The 22,115-nt window shown below is 37.1% G+C and overlaps 1 protein-coding gene across 3 annotated transcripts in view; it reads right to left on the bottom strand.

The window, feature by feature from the left end:
• Positions 1-22,115, bottom strand: part of CDKL5 (cyclin dependent kinase like 5) — a 228,022-nt gene that overhangs the window by 61,159 nt on the left and 144,748 nt on the right. For all 3 annotated transcript variants that reach the window (NM_003159.3, NM_001323289.2, NM_001037343.2), the window contains 5 exons: positions 16,981-17,117; positions 12,503-12,623; positions 10,521-10,580; positions 8,118-8,208; positions 4,328-4,517 (listed from right to left, as the gene is read on the bottom strand). In NM_003159.3, the coding sequence (NP_003150.1) occupies positions 4,328-4,517; positions 8,118-8,208; positions 10,521-10,580; positions 12,503-12,623; positions 16,981-17,117 (599 nt within the window). The remainder of the gene's footprint in view (positions 1-4,327; positions 4,518-8,117; positions 8,209-10,520; positions 10,581-12,502; positions 12,624-16,980; positions 17,118-22,115) is intronic.

Below are 22,115 nucleotides of genomic sequence, written 5' to 3'. Positions count from 1 at the left end.
AAGAGATAATCCTTTGTGTGGCCTATCTAATCCAAATGCTCCTCGTTCTTCAATATCCATTTCAAATGTCAAATGCTTCATAAAGCATTCTCTAATGAATCCCCAATGATGATTTCTAACTTTCCAGAATATTTGACACTCTCATGGTCTAAACCATATGGAGATACATTAGAAAACCGTACAATGAGGTAAACAATGCAGTACTTTATTATATACCACGCTTTCTTATAAATTGTATTGTTTTCTAATTATTTCATGGATGAAAGTCTTAATTCTTCAGCTAGTTTGTAAGTTATTAAGGCCAAGCAGCATGTCAGATCTGTTCATACTCTCTTCAGAGAATCCGGCATACAGCCCCATTAACCAGGCCAAGAACAAGTCAGCCAGCAAACCAGGCTTAATGTTCCAGCAGTTAATGTTAAAATCCTGAGGTCAAATATTTAATCATTCAACACTATTCAGCCTAGCAGGCACTATTCTAGGTGTGCTGCAAATATAATGGTGAACATAACAGTTCATTTCCTCAGTCCAGTGAGGATACATATTTGCAAACAGCTACTTAAAGGAGAATGCAATGGGTGCTACAAAAGAGGTATAACCAGAGTGTTATAGGGTCACCAGTTTCCCCTCGAATAGTCTAGAAGGTCTTCACGGAGGGAGGACATTTGGCCTGAGTCTAGGGGAGGAAGGAGGAGGAGAAGAAAGACAGGTGAGTGTTGGGAGCATTATAGAGATGGAAATGCAGACTATAAAAGCAATATGTCAAGGAAATGGTGAGAGGTTCAATGTGGCCAAAGAGCACAAACTGGGCTAGCGGGGAGGCAGAAATGAAGCTGGAGAACTAAGAAGGGGTTTTTAAAGCTACCCTAAAGAGTTTAAACTTTATCAGTAACCTTGTAGAGGTTTCTAAACAAAAAAGAGAATTGTGTGGTTTGAGAAATGTGAGAAGGCTAAAGTGAAAAGAGAAAGATCGGGGGATCTATTTGGGGGTGGTGGTCAAAGGTTAGGTAAAGGTAAAAGGGTAAAAGAAGCATGAGAGATGGAGAGAAAAGAAATACAGTTGAGTTTCAATGCTGATGCCACAGACTGGTTAATCACTTCTCAGATATGTAGTGAATACTCACTGGATATGGTAGATACTGTGTTAAATGCTGGAAACACATCTGTGATGTGATAAAACAGTTGATTTCTGCCCTTGAGAAACATATTCCAGTGTGAGAGGACTAGATAGTTAACAATTAACAAGTAAAGAAACAGACAAAATAATTCCATACTGTGGTAAGTTCTATGATAGAAAAAGGATGCTGTGGGAGAGAAAGACTAGGATGGAGGTGAGGGTGGTACGTTGGGTGGCCAGAGAAAGAGGCACTCTTTGAGATTGACAGAATGAGAAGGGACCACACGAGGGAAGCACCTTGCCAGGAGAAGCAGCCATGGGTCCCAAGTTGATGAAACTGGAAAAACCCTGGAATGTTTATGGAAGCCAAAGAACAAAAAAGGCAAGTGTGCTGAGAATCTGGAGAATGGGGGGAATGGAGATAGGTACGAGATGAGGTCAGGCAAGGTCTCATAGGCTACGGCAAGGAGTTTAGATTGATTTTCAGTGAAAATGCAATTCATTAATTATGACTAACTTTATTTCTGAGTATAATAGATTTTTCTTTCTTCTAGACTGGGGACAAGTCCTATTTATTGTCATATTTCCAACACCTAGTATGACAAATGTTCAAAAATGTTGAGCTAACCTGCTGAACCACATATGCTGTTGGCACCCCAATTACTGGTCATAGCTGGCAAATTTCTGGCTTACAAAAGCAAAAATAAAAGGAGAAACAACAAACTTGCCTGAGGTAACTCAGACAGATGTGAAAGACAGACAAAAAGCAGGAGATAAAAAAGATACTGGCATGCCTCTGTCCATTCATTTCGCCCACATTCACTGAGCCTAGAAGGATCTGGACGGTTGGGCACTCAGGTTTGAGCAGTGGTGGTCTCTAAAGGGAAATTAACTGGGGGCCAGAAAATCAAAAGAAAAAAACAAAGTGCTTTGTAAATGGCAAGGTAACATGGTTTGAGAACTACGCATTTCAGAGAAAGGAAAGAAATGGTGGGGAGATTATTTTATAGCTCCCACAATGACCAGCAATTGCCATGCTGGCCCAAAAAAGTGGCTGAAGATGGATTAAACACTTAATGTTAGACCTAAAACCATAAACCCTAGAAGAAAACCTAGGCAATACCATTCAGGACACAGGCATGGGCAAGGACTTCATGACTAAAACACCAAAAGCAATGGCAACAAAAGCCAAAATTGACAAATGGGATCTAATTAAACTAAAGAGCTTCTGCACAGCAAAAGAAAATACCATCAGAGTGAACAGGCAACCTACAGAATGGGAGAAAATTTTTGCAATCTACCCATCTGACAAAGGGCTAATATCCAGAATCTACAAAGAACTTAAACAAATTTACAAGAAAAAATCAAACTACTCCATCAAAAAGTGGGTGAAGGATATGAACAGACACTTCTCAAAAGAAGACATTTATGCAGCCAACAGACACATGAAAAAATGCTCATCATCACTGGCCATCAGAGAAATGGAAATCAAAACCACAATGAGATACCATCTCACACCAGTTAGAATGGTGATCATTAAAAAGTCAGGAAACAACAGGTGCTGGAGAGGATGTGGAGAAATAGGAACACTTTTACACTGTTGGTGGGACTGTAAACTAGTTCAACCATTGTGGAAGTCAGTGTGGTGATTCCTCAAGGATCTAGAACTAGAAATACCATTTGACCCAGCCATCCCATTACCAGGTATATAAAGGATTATAAATCATGCTGCTATAAAGACACATGCACACATATGTTTACTGCGGCACTATTCACAATAGCAAAGACTTGGACCCAACCCAAATGTCCATCAATGATAGACTGGATTAAAAAAATGTGGCACATATACACCATGGAATACTATGCAGCCATAAAAAAGGATGAGTTCATGTCCTTTGTAGGGACATGGATAAAGCTGGAAACCATCATTCTCAGCAAACTATCCCAAGGACAGAAAACCAAATACTGCATGTTCTCACTCATAGGTGGGAAATGAACAATGAGAACACTTGGACACAGGATGGGGAACATCACACACTGGGGCCTGTCATGGGGTTGGGGGAGGGGGGAAAATAGCATTAGGAGATATACCTAATGTAAATGACAAGTTAATGGGTGCAGCACACCAACATGGCACATGTATACATATGTAACAAACTTGCATGTTGTGCACATGTACCCTAGAACTTAAAGTATAATAAAAAAAAAAAACTGGCTGAAAACTTAAAAAGTTGTTTTTGGGGTAGGTGGAAGAAGTAGCCTATAACTCACTGGGCACTCTAATAAGGTGACTCCTCCTCATTTGGGGAAAGTTTATACTTTCTAAGACGCTATTTCACATATTCTCAGAAAAGTTTTGTACAAAGTTGTCAAGTCTAGGAAAGGCTGCCCAAGACAATACACTAGTTGTTGTTTTTTTTTTGTTTTTGTTTTTTTTTTTGAGACAGAATCTCACTCTGTCACCCAGGCTGGAGTGCAGTGGCATGATGTCGGCTCACTGCAACCTCTGCCTCTTGGGTTCAAGCAATTCTCCTGCCTCTGCCTCCCGAGTAGCTGGGACTACAGGTGTGCACCTCCATGCCTGGCTAATTTTTGTATTTTTTTGTAGAGATGGGGTTTCACAAAGTTGGCCAGGCTGGTCTCGAACTCCTGGCCTTAAGTGTTCTGCCCAACTTGGCCTCCTAAAGTGCTGGGATTACAGGAGTGAGCCACCATGCACGGACCCAAGACAATACACTAATTTGAAAAGAAGATTTGATGTTTCACCGTCAGTGGACCAGAAACATCTACTAAAACAAGAACCTTCAAATCTGGGGAATCCAAGTTTTCAGGGCTTTCCTCAAATCACTACAAATATGTTTGTTCAACATTCATACATTTGGTATATTTGGGGGATGCTTAATATTTTGGATAAAGAAACAATATAAGATAACCAAAGTTTAGTGTGTAAAAATGTATACACTAAAAAAGATTTTGAAAAACTGGAACTTAAAAATTAGAAAAAAGATTAGAATTTGAATTCTAACCACTTTTTAAATCCACAAGTACTATTAAAAAATTCGGAAATAAAATATTATAATAGGGATTATAAACACTGTAATGGGAAAAGAAATAGTATTCAAAGGATAGTTTAGCATTCCATTGTGCAATGAACAATGACTCAAATACTGCAGTATTGATTCCATTTTGGGTTTCAGCAAAACCTCTTACCCGGAGCCCATGGAAGCGAGGATTACTGTAGAAAAGCTTCATCTGCTCAGATGGAAGTGGTCCTAGCACCTTCTGAATAGTAAAAAGTTGGTCAATTTCACTTTCTCCAGGAAATAAAGGCTGTCCATCGCTAAGCTCCCCAAGAATACAGCCCACCGACCACATGTCCACGGACTTTCCATAGGGAGCGCTGAAAAATAAAGGAAGAGATTATTTTGGCAACTGAAAAAATATAATGTTTTGATAATTTCCAAATTATTGTGAACAAATTTATGTGCAGCACACTTGTATATTTATGAAATTAAAAAGTTCCATGTGAAAAGAAGGCTGAAAAGCAAATCATCAGAACACAAGTGAATAAACCTATGCTAATAAAGCCATCAATTTAATAACAATTTAGTTAGTATACACTAATTTGAAATTTATTCACATAAATAGATATGTATCTTAAATGTGAACGGCTTAATAAACCCTAATACAGTATACATATCTGGCAAGTAACACCTCACTTGGGGAATGAAATGCTTCCAAATAATTGTATTTTCTAAGACAAATAATTATCCTTTAGCTCTCTAAATGTCAAAAAGATACATCTTATCCATTTTATGAGTTCAGTCTATTAAAATTTACTATGTACTGATTTATGTGTTTCCTTAACACTGAATATTATTTAACCTTCCATCGCTCAGCATCACAGTTTCTGATGACTAAGATTGTGCTAAGATCTACTATATTATTTATTTGAATATAATATATGTAACCTATGTATATAGAGCTTTATGGTAGCTATTTCCCTCAAAACATTTTCCAGTTTATTTAGGGGTTTATAGCTTCTTCTAGGGTGTGAGTTTACCAGAGGGCTTTAGGAGTGTTGCTGTTATTAATAAATGGAGGTTGTATATGAAAATCTAGGTATCCTCAAAACAGCTTTATATCTAGAGTGTTAAATTTACAGCAAATTAAGAAACCACACACACACGCGTGCACGCTCACACACATTTCCAACATAAATAATCCAAGCTTTAAGAAGGGAAAGCCAAAAGAAAATATCTGAAAAAGAATATGGAAAGAAATTTTGGAATGCTAAAATGATACAGTAGTGAAACAAAACTTTTAAATCAAAGGACTGTTAACATTATACAGAACAAATTTCTAGGATAACAAATCATTGCAATAATAAGTCAATATTTCATTTATCTCATTTCCTTCCCATATCAACCTAAGAACTACACAAGGAAACTTCATTTAGATCTTTTTGGTAAGTTTGTTGGGCAGGGCAAGATACTGATCTTTCTTTCGTATCTGTTTGAGAAAGAGAAAATTTGTTCCATAGTGCTAGATGGAGAAACTTATGGAAAATTTTCACATACTCACTACAAGCTATTTTTCTTCTGTCATCTGATTTGAATAATTTATGCAGCTGGAATGATTCTGAATGTCAAGGACAAAGCCTTGAGAATATATAAAACTTAAATTCTTAATGTATAACCAAATACCTGATTTCAAAAGGATTTTTACAAATATGGCTCTTCAACTAGTACTTGACAATCACTTAATTAGCAATATTCATTTCAGCACTAATTTAGTTACATTGTCCCCATACTTTTAGCAGCTAGCACACATCTCTAAACATAACTCCAGTTTTTCTACAGGTATTATTAAGCAGCAGATACTCTCTGAAGATTCACAATAAGGCTGTCCTCAAAATAAACTTTTTGGGGCCATGTTACAGACACCACCATATTATAACAAGCCCTTCTACTACACTTGAGTCCTCAGATGGGGTTCTAAGAATGATCTACTTCATACTCATTTCTCCATTGGTAAAGTGTCCAGTAAATTCAATTCTCCCAAAAGAAAATGGACTATGCATCCCAATGAGTCCAAAAGGTACACGGAAGAAATATAGACAAACACAAAGAAAATCAATCCTAATTCTAAGATTAAAAATTAGCATAAAAACTCTAAACTCTGCCTACACAATGGAAGAGATAATAAAGTGACTAAGCATCTTTGTTTTTCAGGATAAAGCAAGCTTTTGATTTAAAAAAAATAGTAAAGCTTTCAAAAACTAATGTCAATGATTCTTACAGGCTTTAGGTCAGCAATGAATCAAGAATTACTACTAGACGGTTGGTAGACACTGGAAAATAAGTAGTTAATATCAAAATAAACCCTCAGTGAGTAACTTAAACATGTCGTCATCATGCTCTTCAGAAAAAAAATCCAGAAACTTATATTGCTATTATATAAAAAACATTTTTAAAAATTAAATTCCTCATGTCCCCCAGATACACGTATGGCATGCTAAATTAAAGAAATGAGACCTACAATTTGCGCACTTGTCATCATTATCACTATATCTAATTTTATTTGTGGAGTATAAATTATCTGTTTTTGGGTGGTCCCAAAGAAGGAAATACAATCTAAGGAAAATAATCCTACAACTAGGGTAGGTAGAGAATTATTAATGAGAACTACAGGCTCCTTCTTAGGCTTTAAAGTTAAAATGTACTAAAAAGAAAAGAACCTTATCAGAAGACCTTTTTCTGGTGTTAACAGATGAATGAAAGAGCATTGAAAGTTAAAGGGTGGCCACAAAGTAGATCAATGTAGAGATGTTACTGAGAAAATCATCAATGCAGTGCTAGTTTGAATAGCCATTTATCATCAAACAGGATTTACACTGTTCAGAACAAAAATGGCAATTGGTCCATTTTTTTGTTTTTTGGGGTTTTTTTGTGTGTGTGTGATGGAGTCTTGCTCTGACGCCCAGGTTGGAGTGCAGTGGTGGGATATCAGCCCACTGCGACCTCTGCCTCCTGGACTCAAGTGACTCTCCTGCCTTAGCCTCCCAAGTAGATGGGACTACAGGCAGGTATCACCATGCCTGGCTAATTTTTGTATTTTTTTGTAGAGACGGGGTTTCACCATGTTGCCCGGGCTGGTCTTGAACTCCTGAGCTCAAGCGATCTGCTGGCTTTGGCCTCCCAAAGTGCTGGGATTACAGGCGTGAGCCACTGTGCTCAGTCTGGTTCAATATTTACTCTATGTGCCTGGCAAAGTGGTTGGACATAAGAGATACTTGATAAGTACTTGAAGAATTAATAAATGAACAAATAGATAAGCCAGAATGTCAAACTGTGTGGATATTCACATTCTTAATGTGGAAGTTTATTAGCAAAGATGGCTACAATTAATTTCTTCCATTTCCATACATATACCATTTTATAATATGGCTCTGCCACTTGCCCCATCAAGAGATGGAATTTATTTCTCCATACCATGAATCAGGGGTTGGTCATGTAACATGCTTTGGCCAACGAGGCAAAAGCCATACAAAAAAAGGCTTGAAAGCTGCTGTTGCTTTGGGGCTTACCCTCTTAATAGCACAGAATTCTCCAACTATCACACTTAGAAACTTGGAATAGCTTACTGGAGGATAAGTTTCCAGGGATCAGAGATGGTCTGATCCAGCTGAGACCCCTAAACTAACCAGCTCCCAGAAGACCTACCAGCTGACTATAACTTCGTGAGTGACTCCAAGAGAGACCAGTAGAAGAACCATCCAGCTGAACTCAAACTGGTGATTCCCCCACACCCAGAATTCTGAGCAAACAAAAAGGTGCTTGTTTCATACCATTAAGTTTTAGGTAGTTTGTTATACTGCAATATGTAACTGACACATTTAATTAACTGAAGTTCTTATTTTCCATAGATGAACTCAAAGCAAATGACAATAGAATCAGCAGATGTGGAAATGTCATTCTATTTTGGGACGGTAACTCACCCAAGTAAGAGTTCTGGGGACCGATACCATCTGGTGGCAACGTACTCTGTGTAATTAGCATTATTGCCTTCTGACAGATTACGAGCAAAACCTGAAAGATAGCAAAGTCCAAAGTTGTAACTTTGAAAAAGAAATAATAATTCATGTGGGCAAAATATTTCAGCGCTAGTAATACTTTAAACAACATCAAAAGAATGTAATGACTGTTCTCGCATGGGCTATTTATTAATAATATCCTTGTTATCTTAAAAAGTTAGTAGAGTGTTCCATGTCAATTGAAAGACATACAATGTATTCACTACAAAACCAGTCTCTTCACTATGCTAAAGAAAACCGGGTTTTCGAAGTCATCCCATGCTTTTATAATTATTCAGAGCATACTTTTAAATCAGCTCTCCCAATAAATGCAAACCTTAGGAAAAAAATGAAATAAAGTCCCCACAAAAGCTAGAAATCAAAATCAAAGTCAAACTAGCATATTGTAGACGGTCATTAATTTTGCTATGTGGCACTTACACAGTATTTGCATATGTACTGTTGCTGAGCAATTCTAGCCTTTACATAAACAGTGATGGAAACAAAGCAGGCCAAAATTACTATCATCTCCTAATGACTGAGAATATTAGGGGTATCTTAGTTACCAATTACAGACTCTACCACTACTTTTACCCCCACCCTTTGAAAAGGTTTTAGGGCTACTGCATAGCCACAAAATAAGGCAGGAGGATAAGTTAATCACCCATCTAACTCACCAAACACAACATAGGTTCACTGTGAATAGTTATAGAGAATCAGAACATTAAAATTAAGAGTAAAAATCAAGGTGTACGTCAGTTTTGAGACATGGAAAATACTGTTTCTTAAAATGAAACGGTAAAAAATAAAAACAATCCCAGCGTAAAACAAAACCCCTAACTTCAGATAATCAATGTTTCTTCATAAGACACGCTTTGAAGAAATATTTGTATTTTTGAATGGGGTTCTTCAAGTCAGACCAAGGAGTGCGTACTCTGGGAGGGGAAGCAATTAGGAAGTCCTTGCTAGGGATACACAGGACACAGGATACCGCATGTGGTGCTGCCAGGAGGAACTTCCTGACCATTTACAACAGTCTTTTCTCTGAGAAATGCCAGACCAGGAGTACTCTTCCTACTACTAACCATTCTATGGGCATTCTTTTATATTTATAACTTGCTTTATATTTTCAGTAACTTAAGTCTCTGTTTTGGGTAGTAATCACAATCACGGACAGGAAATCAGAAACAGATGTTGTTCCTGAAAATCATAATGCTAACAAAATGCTAAAAATGCCACAATTAAAATCTTTCAGATCCAGTATTCAATATTTCCTTTTTCCTAAGTACATTCTTTATAAATTTAGGACACAGACTCTTTTACATATCATTCCTTATCATAAAATATGAAGAAAATTAAGTCCTGTAAAACATTTTTTCTCAGACAAACAGGTTAATAATATTCAAAATCTTTGAAAATACTGAGTGACAAGAGCTACACATGCTTCCATTTGCTACACTGGACAAAATGGGTCATTCTACGAAGCAAATTTTGACAATGCCTCTATTTCTTGCTTGTGTAATTCATCTCCTATGCACTAATCTAATCTAATTTTTCCTTATAAGGAGATGGATTCTTAGTTATATGTGGAGGTTTACATTGTATTTGTGATTATATTTAAATATATGAAAAAAGACATTTAAAAAATCAAGTGTTCATTTTTCAGCATACAGGTTAGGCAAAACTATTATTTTAAAAAGTGACCCATGACCCTAACATACAATCTAAAATTTTTTCTGAATTATTTTAATTTAAATGTTTAATAGAGCTTAATACAGAGTTATCTACATGGGAGACACAGACAATTTTCTACTAGGAGAGAGTACAACTAAAAAAATTTCCCTATACATTCAATCAAAAGCTGTAATATTATACATGACTAACCCCATTCATTGAACATTTAGAGGGAACAAATGAAAATGTTCTAAAAATGTCTTTTGACTTTATAGATATATAACAATTGCATATACAAAATACTTATGTGTATTTACAGAGGGATATTTTAGTGTTCATGATTAAACCTGGAACAACTATCAACATTCAAAAAAAATTTTTGTGAAGTCATTAGATATTGGGCATATGGGTGTATTTGCTTTGAATTAGTTCTGATTAAACAAAAACCATGATAAAATTTTAAAAATAGACAATACTCTGAAGAGAGCAGTACTCCTCCAGCAATCAATTTTTCAACATGTGACTCAAAAGAATGTTCCTCTACCAATTTAAGTCAAAACATAACAATTACTTTTAATATTCCTTTAAAAGCTACCTATGTGTTACAATAAATTAATTCTGTAAGTACCAGGACTTAATTTCTTTTTAACTTACCAAAGTCACACAGTTTTAGGACATCATTGTGGCTGATTAAGAGATTTTCTGGTTTTATATCTGGAGTGTCAAGATAAAAAAAAAATTAGTAAAAATGTTCTATGTTCTCCTGATTGACACTGTTAGATCACTGTAATAGCATCTAATTAGAAATATCTAGAGTAATTTGAATAGAAAACTGTGGCAGCAAAAATAAAGTAACACATTTTATGCTGGTACATAAAAGTTTCAATGAATTTCTTTCTCAGAAACATGCAGACCACAACTTCAAAAATATTTTTTTCCTCTTTAAGTATTAAAAGGATTAGTTGGATCTCTGAAAGAATTTTAAGAATAATTAAATATAGGCCAACACATTTCAAAAACCTATTATTACTTCATAAAATACTAGTAATACAAATTTTTGGAGATAGAAATATAAAATGTTTACACCCACAAGATACTTTAAAAATACATGAGAATAAGTAGCTAGCATTATATTTACTGGAGAAGACATACAAGACATGCTTTCTGTTACATTCTTCTACATAATTTCTATATTTACGTCTCTTTAGCTTTTCTGCATGGTTCACAATTATCAATGTCTAATGCTGAAGCCATACTGGATGAGTCAAATTAAGATTTCTAATTTTTTCCATGGATGTTATGAAGATGTGGTGGGAGTTAAGTAGAAATTCACAGAAAATGCAGTTGAATTCTCTCCTTGGGAGGCATCTCGCAATTGTATTTTTAGAGTAGAATACCCATGATCTATATCATATGGTAGAGATGCAAATGGAGAAAGGGCAGAGGTAGTGAAATCTGTAGATTTCAAATCATGGTTTCTACCATTAATTTGCAACCAATGATTCACTATGCACATAATCAAATCACAGTATCATGATGGAAATGCACCTAACTCGGCTCCTCATTAATATCCCCAAACTACAGTATAGACTGTTACTAGAATCATTACCCTAGACACTGGATGTCCAGTTGACGTGGAGATCTACCCATGCTACCAACAATCTTGATAAGGTAACTGCTATGAGAGTCAAATGCAAGAGAAATATAAACTGTTTCTAGGAATAAAAGACGATGGCATTCTTCATATGACCTTTAAACTATTCTCACAAGTGAGAATATTTTTAAAGTGATATCCTTGTGCATTTGTGTATAGGTAAATTAAAATGTAGCATTCTTTTATCTGCTAATCTAAAGACAAAAAGTAAATACTGCAATTTTTTAAATAAATATTTAGGGTCATTGTTGTATCAATTTGTGTCCCACTACTGTAAAACTCTCCAGTGCAAGAAAGATTATCAGGAGAAGAGACAAAGTTGATGCTGAGCAAGTAATTTCCCTTTCATTGCTATAAACCACCCACTTCATGGCAGTAAAGGACAAAACAGTTTATGGGAGTATAATTATGACCTTTATGCAAGGTTGATCATGCCTGCAACTGCAGACAACGGGCACTTTTCACTAAGGGGTAGAGAAAATTAGGAGGTGAAGATACATACTGGAGATTGTTGGTGTAAGAAGGAATGAGACATGAGTGCCAATAGGGGCCAGTGACTTAGGAACCACCTATATAAAGCCTGATTCAGAGTTGTTTCACATTACCTGGTCTACCTGCAGGACCAAGGCTATAGAGATCAACATTTTGCTCTTCTCCTATCCCCAAGTAAGTTTCAAAGTTCACATTTGTTGAGTTCTCTTATATCACTAGGCATTTCTACAATTGGGAGTGGATCTATAATAGTTATACAAATGTAAAGATCTCACCACAATATCCAAATAAATTTGTAATCCATCCTTTTGGTGATAGAAAAGGAGATATGGAGAGCAAATATTTCTCATGTCTTGCACTTTCAAAATATATTTAATTTAAATGGCAATGCCAATGCTTATGAAAATATTCTTAAAGACAGTAACATGTGAAATACTCTTAACTTTATTTGATGTTTTAATATTTTCCATTTTAAAAATCTCATACTCACCTCGATGGACAATATCATTCTTATGGCACCAGTGAATAGCCTTGATTAGCTGATAGATGTAGCTTTTTACTTTCTCAGGTGGAACTCCATTTGGCATTTCTTCCAGCAATTCGAGCATATTCTAAAAATTAAATAGAGTCATTATTTCCCAAATTAGGTAGGCCCGTAAATTATGTATTAACAATTTTACAAAGCATCTAGAATAATTCATCCAATACAGAGCTTTTTTTTTTAATTGTTTTGCTTTCTATCTACAACTTTCTCATGCTGAATCAGCATTAAAATTGGGGCTTTCTTTTATGAGGAATTCCATTTTTACTATTCCCTAATGCTACCCCAAATAATAACCCTGTATACTTTTCACTCTCCCTAAAGGTTTTCAGGCATTATTTTAGAATAATTAGAAGAGAAAAGCAATACAAAGTAGAAATATGACACTGTAATGTATAAAGGGGGGAAAGAGCCTTTTTAAACACAGTGTGCTGTATCTCTGCAACAGAATCTTGTGATAAAAATCAAGCCTTGAAAATACACCTGGAAGATCCACGAAATATTCTTAGTAGAAAAAAAAATGTCCAAAATTAAAAATGATCAATACATTTAGTACAAAAATTCAAACAGGCCAGAAAATACTATTGAAATAAAGAGTCACAGACCCCCTACAATTCAATATTCAAAAACCTTAATTTGGAGTCAGAGACCATTATAACTAAAATTCATGCAAAATTTTTTATTATGTAGAAATTCCACTTAGCCGGTCTCTACTGAATTTCCAGATTAACCATTCTCCTTTCTCACTGTAAAGTACAAGGCCCGTGGTACAATCACAGCTTATTGTTTGTAAGCAACCATCTAGGACAGCAGTTCTCAAAGTGTAACATGTGGATCTGTGGGGTCTCAGATCTTGCGGAGGGCCCATGAAGTCAAAACTATATTCATAATAAGACTGTGATGTTTGCCTTTTTCACTGTGTTGGCATTTACACTAATGGTACAAAGCAACAATGGGTAAACTGCTGGCACCTCAGCATGAATCAAGGCATTGGATTCTTTAATCCAATTAAACCTTGCCTTTAAAAAAGAAAACAGACGTTTTAGTTAAGGACATCTTTGATGAAGCAGTACAAAATATTACTTTGACTAAATTTCAATTCTTGAGTACATGTCTTTTTTGGAATCTGCATGATAAAATGGCAGACTGCACATAAAGCCCTTCTGCTGCACATGCACCATCTGTCCAATGGTTGTCCTGAGGAAAAGCACTTAGAGGATTGAGATGCAAGCTGAATGAGCTGCTTTTTATGTGGAATGCCATTTTTCACTTGAAAGAATAACTGACATACAAACTTATCTATGTTAACATGCAATACGTTTATTGTTATTTTAAAATGAACTAATATTTTTATATTGCTCAGTCATGACTAATATGAGAAACACTAATAGATAAAATACACATAAATAAAAAGTTCTTAGGGTTCCCAATAATTTTCAGAGTGTGAAGGGGCCATAAGACCAGTCAGAAAATCACTGCTCTAATTTGGCCTCACAGTTTTGTTCCCACCAGTCAAGTTGTATACCTATCAAGAATCAGTTGTATTTACTCCCATGCCTATTTATAAAAGATGCACTTGTTATTTTAATATAATTAAATACCATATAAACAAATGAAATAATGTTTTTTTAAAAAAAGAGTTGTTGTTTATAAGAAAACAAAGTTGAATACTTTAGAAAGGCTTAATAAATGAAAAGCCACTAAACTTATTGCCATCTAATCAAATGTGAGACAACTACAAAACACTGGCAAGGAATGGGTGCTAGTGGGGATAAGCATGTCCAATTGAAGGATTCTGCACTGAGATTCCTTTGCAGATGTTTTTGCACATTTGCTTTACCTTAAAGATGCATTACGAGTATGATGTATGTAAAAAAGACCAATCAGAACTTCAGAAGAGCGATAGGCAAAAGGCCTTGACCCTACCTTTATAGCGTGGTAAATGAATACATACAGTATTTATGTTTCCAATTAAAATAAACATTTTAAGTATGTATGCATCATTTTTTGATTCTCCATTTGAATTCTCTTTTTCAATTAACAAATTCATAGATGGTCCCAAATGCACAGGTGGAATAAGAAGGCTTTGTAATATAGAAAACAAATTGTATCTCTTGTTTCACATTCTATTCTAAATTCCTCAGTGGCAGACATATTGTCCTCCAGTATCCAGTCTTCCCTTACTCCGCAGGAACACAATTTTCAAGTGCTGCCCAGAACGAAGAGTACAGTTCTCTTCTGCCTTGCAGCTAATGTGGTCATGCAACTATGTCCTGGCCAATGGGATATGACAGCTGGAACTCTATCCTGACCTTGAGGACAAGGGTCACACCTCGCTGTGGTGGAGCAGAGCTGCCACACTAGTCCTGTACTGCCCTACCTTTGTATTTATATGTGAGGGTGAAAGAAACTTCTATTTTAAGCCTCTGCAATCCTGGGTCTCTGTTACCAGTCCCTTATCCCTTAGAGAACTTTCTCCTTGCTCTCCTGAGACTCACTGTCAATTATGACGCACTGCCACTAATGTGGCAGGTGTGACAGTCACATTCTACCTAAGAACCACAGGATCGGGGGAAGAATCTCAGGCCTGACTGTCAGAAGACTGGAGTTCTAGTAGCAGCTCAGCCATTTACCAGCAGGGAGATCTCAGACACACAAAATTGCCTCTCCCAGTGAGGAAACAGATACACAGAAGTGACTTCTCCATTTGTTATATTAAATTATTATTAATAATGAACAACCACCATGAATAGAACAAAAATAAAAAGGATAAACTAAGAGATGTCAAAATTTTCTTATTTGGTAGTGAAAACTACAAACTGCATGATTATTTATGATAATGAAAAAATAAAAAGCAGCCAGGCATGGTGGCGCGCACCTGTAGTCCTAGCGACTCAGGAGGCTGATGTGAAAGATTTGCTTGAGCCCAGGAGTTTGAGGCTGCAGTGTGCTATAATCATACCTGTGAATAGCCACTACACTCCAGCCTAGGCAACATAGTGAGACACCATCTCTAAAAAGTTTTTAAAAAATAAAGAGCATCTGGTTTCCCCTGGAATCCTAATACAGCAATCCTTTTTTTTTAATAGAACTTTAAAAAAAAAAAAAAAACTTTTAGTTTTATTTTGGTGTGGAAGGTACCTTAGAGGAATGTATAAGTTGACACAGAAAAAGAAACTTAAAACAGATTCTGGAAAAGGAACATAAAGCAGTGGTTTAAGATTACAAACAACCTGCTAGTACCGTTCCAGTTTTTCTAGTAAGGAAATTATTACATGTATTTTTTTTTTTTATTTCAAAAAACAATTTGTAAAGGCTGAATGCATTCAAAGCCACATTACTGGTCAGTTACCCTGGCAATACTGCTTTCCATTTGGTTATGACAATGTTGATACTCTGTCATTTATGGTATAGCAAGCACCTGGGTATAGACCTGCAGCAAACATAAACTTCTCCCACTTCAACCTTCTTTGGACAACAGCATAGGAATCGGCAGGAGCCACCTATTTACTCATCAAGAAAACTTGCTTAAAGGTTTGCCCCACTCCAGTTTCTTCTACTACTGTTAAAGTGTTTATCTGTTTAAGTTTTTGACCATAACAACTGCTGTAGGTCAGCTGCTCTCCAAGAAATTTCTCTTTTTCTTTTTCTTTAGAGACAGGGTCTCACTATGTTGCTCAGGCTATTCTCAAACTCCTGAGGCTCAAGCGATCCGCCTGCCTCAGCCTCCCAAAGTGCTGGGATTACAGGTGTGAGCCACTGCACCAGGCCCCTCTCCAAGAAATTTCTAGGCACACATTATTGATTACTGTAACATACATTTGCCCTTAGGTCATGTTATTAAAATTGTCTCCAACAAGTTGAACATTTTTTAATACAAGCTAAGGCAAGTGTAGACAGCTCAAACAATGCATGCTTTTCTTTTACGGTCTCATCTACCACCTCAAGCCTCACCTTAGGCCTCCTGGCACAGCTCCTTCCCTCAAATAAAGCCAAAGCATTGGCAGTTCACATAAGCTGCTTCCTGGGCCCACTCATTCCCCAGCCTAGGTCTGATTCAGTGTGGTATCTTATACAGCCTCTTCCAGCCTGTACCATCACTGTCAGTTTACCAGTTTCTCCCTCAGTTTAGGCTTAGTTAAGTCAAGTCTAAAAATTACTTGTTGAACATAGAGTTTAAGACTTCAGAAGCCAAATCAGTATATTGTTTAAACTTACGATTATCTCTATACAGTTTAATTGTACAAAATTCTTAAATATATTTCAGAATTTCTAATGATTATTAACAACACTTTCATTTTTAAAGTCCTCAGATTATGAGTACATTGATAAGCCATATTAGATAACAGTACTTTCTTAAATAATGTCAGAAACAGCCTTAAATAAAAGAATCGGGCAAATGTGCACATTGGCAATTAATGACTTACTTTTTCAACATACTCAAACACCAAGTACAACTTTCCCCTCCGACGAAATGCTTCCTTCAACTCCACAATGTTTTCCTGCTTGAGAGTCCGAAGCATTTTAAGCTCTCGTAAAGTCGTTTCTTTGACTTCTTCATTTTCTAGAATGTAAACAATGGTGAAGAGACTAAAATGAAAACTTTCAAGCTACTATTCAAAGAATTCCAAGAACACTGAAAACATCCCAATTTCACCTTCTGCTTTGAGTACTTCTGCATAAGAAGTACAAGAATGGAATATTAAATAACACGTTTTCTTGTTGAAAGGATCAAGAATAAGAAAATCGAAGAAAGGGTTTACTTGATCAGCACAAACTTGACTTCCTGCTTATATTTTCTTATACTCCTTTTACTATGTGTATGTATAAAAATTTTCTTATACTTCTTTTACTACGTGTATGTATAAAAACACACTTATAGATACAACATATGCCTCCATTGTCATCTGAACTATAACACTCTATACAAGGAAGGAAAGAGATTAAAAGGGCCATAAGGAATCAAAACTGTCAGTGTGCAGAAGAACCTCTATGCAGCCGGCATCTGTAGTAGCTGATGTTTTTAAGGATGGCCTGAAACTTTGGCCTAAAAAAACATTTTATTCCTCAGGCTGCATGAGTCACCTCAGGGAGCAGAGGTCATGCGCCAAGCATCCACAATTCAAGTCACAGCCAAGTTGCAGGGAATTCTGAGAGTGTCTAATCTTCTCTCTGAACAGCAGCTGCTGTAGGTTCCTGCTGTCCTCCCTGTGGCATGTCCATCTGTCCATCCCAGATGGTGTAGCTGTTCTGGGATGGAGAACTTATGCTGAACCAATAGACCCTCTTCCATACCATCAACTTCATTCATGATAATCTCCGTGGTTATGGAGGAAGGACAGAAGTCATATTAACTCTAATAGATTAATTGGCAGGGGAGTGATGAAAATAATATTTCTATTTAAATTAGTTTTTATTATACCTTTAGATTTACCCGGGAAATCCTAACTACCATGTTTTTGCATGTATGTACCAGGATACAGGTTCATAATCCCTCATCTGCAAGTCCAAAATCCAAAACACAGTCTAAAAACTGAAAGCTTTTTCTAAGTTTGGGGCAAATTCACTGAGAGGTAACACCTGAACTGACAGGAGACTACATAAAGTCTTTGTTTATCCAATCTAATATGAACATTCATATGTTGTGCTATAGAAATACTACTTGATTACTGAGTGCTGTGCATTATAACATGCCACACGTCCATTCTAAAATCCAAAAATTATGAAGTCTAAAACACATGTAGCCACAAGCTTTTGGGTAAGGGCCAGAATCCTAGCTTGAGAGCTGTGTGACCCTCAGGATTAGACACATCTTTCAGTGTGAGAAGGAGGAAAATGGAGTGTGGAGATAGGGGCACGGAAGCCTACTTGATATGCCCTCTAGAAGAAAGGCTCTCTAACCAAGGCACGCAGGAGGAAAAAGGCTGAATGGATTCCAAAGGGAGAGGGAAGATTCTAAATGCAGACCCAGGAATGTTTCCTCAGATTATTTTCTATCCCAGCCCCCTTTCCCAACCCCCAACTCAAACTGAGTTTAAAGAAAAGGGAATGACATAAAAGCAAGGGCTTTGTAGCACCCGAGTATCCATAACAAACTGGGAACACGGAGTCAACACTCCCTTGTGAACTGGTTACATAAATGAAGTATTCTACTTTAGCCAGAAAGCTGTTGGAGAACACTGGAACACAGATTAGGACCAAGAGAGATACTGCCTATGAGAAGACAAGAACCAGCAGTAGGAAAGGCCAACTGTGGCATAAGCAGCGAATTACCTGGATCACACCAAGGCAGTCAACAGGGAACTGGGTACTTACAGGGAAAAGAGCATGACAGTGGATGTCACCTGGCAGTGGGGGAATGTCTGAGATGCAATCGGGGACATCCCAAAGTAGCTTAGAGCATTGGGAGGGGACAAAGGTCCAGGTGTTCTGCAAGTTGGGGGTGAGCCAGAACAGTGGTGTTCTGTGACTGTTAGAATGCTAAGGTAGCTGCAGCTGCTGAAGCACAGGAACACCGGCAGTTTCCTAAAGAAGCAAGATCGAGAACATGCTTCTCTAATATCCCCTCTGAGTTACTCAAGGTTGGGGTAATCAAACTAAAATCCATCTATCTCTAAGAAACAGAATAACACACAGATCTCAAATAAGAAACAAATGATCTAACAAGGGACTAATTTAACAAGAGACAAGTCTACTGATTACTCATGACCTGGTCTGTGCCTGCCTTTCCATCCCCATCTCATGTCCCTCTCCCTCACCTCCATCTTTCAGTTCCCAAAATAGCCCCAAACTTCATTTTTCCACCTTAATGGCCTTCAGACTTGCTCCCTCTGCCTACAATGCTCAGTCTACTACATAGGCTCTTGACAGGGCTTGCTCCTTCAGGTTTTAGTTTAAATATCACTCCTCTAGAGCCTTTCCCAGACCACAAAAGCAAGTAGGCCTCCATCCCCATTATTCCTTATCACAGTTCTGGACTTTTCTTTCACAGAACTTCTTACCATTTTTCTTGATATATTTGTTTGCTTAGTGGTATGCAATCTATGCAGCCATCCCTGCTAAATCAAGAGCTCATGGAGGACAGGACTCAATTCTTCTGTTCAACAATATACACCAGGACTGTACCTGACACAAGGAGAGGTGATCAATACATTCTTCCTACATGAATGCTTCACCTGTGGCCATAAGGAAATCTCTGCCCATACATGCGTAACTCTTCCTCACTTCAGCCACAGCAACGGGAGGGCAAACAATAGGCACTTTGCCTCTCAGTTTTCTTACAGCACTGTCAATTTCCTCAAGCACCGCTTATCAGGCAGTACGATAAACTGAATTTTCTCTTCTCCCTATTCACCTCTGTCCCTAGGTGTCTTCTACAGTATGTGATTAGAAATGATGGAGGATACAGAACACTGACAGTGCTCAGGGTCAAGAACACACACAAGTACATGCACACAAATACCTAAATAAAAATAAAATCATTAAGAGCGTCCATAAACTATGATGCTTTGTGAATTCTTGGTACTGGAAATGCAAATGAAAAAACATCGTACTATTATTTATTACCAACTTGTGGCAGTTTCACTTTGCTAATGAATAAACCCTCTTCAGAATGGCTGCATCAGGATGGTTTTAGTAGAAGGAACAGTGGACCAGGACTAACTAGGGAGACCTAGATTCTGGACTCGGTCTTTTAATCAACTAACAGTACACCATGCAACTTTAGGCAAGCCACTTAACTTTTCATCAGTAAAAGAAACAAATAAATGCCTCCATCTCCCAAAAATCCTATTGCCTTTTTCAAGTCTAATAATCTATTATTTCTTTTCATTAAAATTGTATTGATTATGAGCCTAAACCTCATGGAACTTGGCTGCTTTGTTATACATACATTATTCGAATCTGTATTGACTCCACTTAACAATGGTTAGAGAAGATAAATGAATCATCAAAAAGCAGCACACAAAATTACCTAGAATGTAGTGCCCAAACAACCTCATTGGAGCAGCTGTTTTTAGGAAATAAAGGCTTTTCTACTTTATGCCAGTCATAGTATTAAAAGTTGAGGTAAACACTTGAGCACTAAGATTGCAATGAATGGGAACAGGCAGAAAGTGGAGTTAATTCCCTAAATTCAAGCAAAATGGGCACTCTTCATTATTACTGGGTACATCCTATAATTTTGTTTTTCTAAGTACTTTGAAGGTTCCTGGCCTGCCCTGCACTTTATGATGAAAACTGTCAACTAAATTATCAGATGAGGGGAGAAGGAAGGCACATTCCAATTACACAGGCTTCTCTTCTCAGAGGTACACAAAGTAGGAAAGCATTTTGCAAGGCATTACAAAATGCCTTACAAAAAGCATTCAGTAAGGCATTTTCAAAGGGTGGTAGCACAGCCCACTGAAATGAGCACAAAAATCACTGCCATCTAGTTGAAATAATCCCCGTGGATTCTTTGTCTAGGCTAGGATTCTTTATCAAGGCTGGGCTCCAGTTTACAAATGAAGAAATCAAGTCTAGAAAGGATAACTTTCTCAGGGTGCATGAATGGAGGGTCATATTCAACCTCATAGTCTGAGTAGAACACAGGCACAAAGGTGGCATAGTATACAATACAGTGAGTTTTGGAAAGTGAGTCACAGTACCCAGGTTCAGGTATAACTATGCTACCATTTAGCTGAACGGCAAGGCGGCATAGTATGGGTGGAAGAAAAACTCAACAAAGATCCTGGGTCAGCATTTTAGTTGCAATTATTCACATACACGCTATGCAACTTTGAGCCTGAGGTCCATCATCTGTATACTGGGGCTGAGTTATACTGGATTATTCAGAAGGACTCTTCCCGAGTCCATACTTCTATGTGATAACTGCTTATGTGCATGCTGACCCATCTTGTCATCAGTTACCACTGAGGGGGTTTAGCTGAATGCAGGATCAACTCTGACAAAGTTATGTGCAGATATATAGAAACCCCACTGAGTGAGGACAAAATGGCAGGGTGGAAAAAGGATGTTAAGTAAAAACAACCCAAAAACTGTCCTACTTCTAAACTTACCAGTAAGGCAAGTTAACACACCTAAAAATCAAGAGCGATTTGCTAAAGAGAACAATTCTTAAGAAGAAAGATCACAGGAGCAAAGGAGATTCAAAGATAACTGATGAAAAGAGAAAAATCTAAAGATGAGCAGAAACTCTATTGTAACTCTATTTTTAAAGAACTGTGGGCTTAGAAAGGAAATCCAGGAATAGCTGTAACCTACTTTGTGAAATCACAAACCTGACATTTTTGTATAGCCAAAGAGCCCCCCACCCCAAATGGACCTTTACACAGATAAACTGATAAAGAAAAATCAACCCATCCTTGATCAAAACCACGGGGGTACCATATTTGAGTCTGGTTGCTCTTATTGAAGAAGGGACATCAATAGACAGACAATGTGGCTGAGGGAGTTTGAATGCTAGTGCTACTGTTACATACACCAAGAAAGATGAGGACCCTCCAATCTTTAGAGATGAAGAACAGGTAAAAGCACAGTAGAAATTTATTAAATCACAGAA

The sequence above is a fragment of the Homo sapiens genome, chromosome X, assembly GCF_000001405.40.
Source record: "Homo sapiens chromosome X, GRCh38.p14 Primary Assembly".
NCBI classification, from domain to species: Eukaryota; Metazoa; Chordata; class Mammalia; order Primates; family Hominidae; genus Homo; species Homo sapiens.
This window is presented reverse-complemented; position numbering and strand designations above follow the sequence as displayed.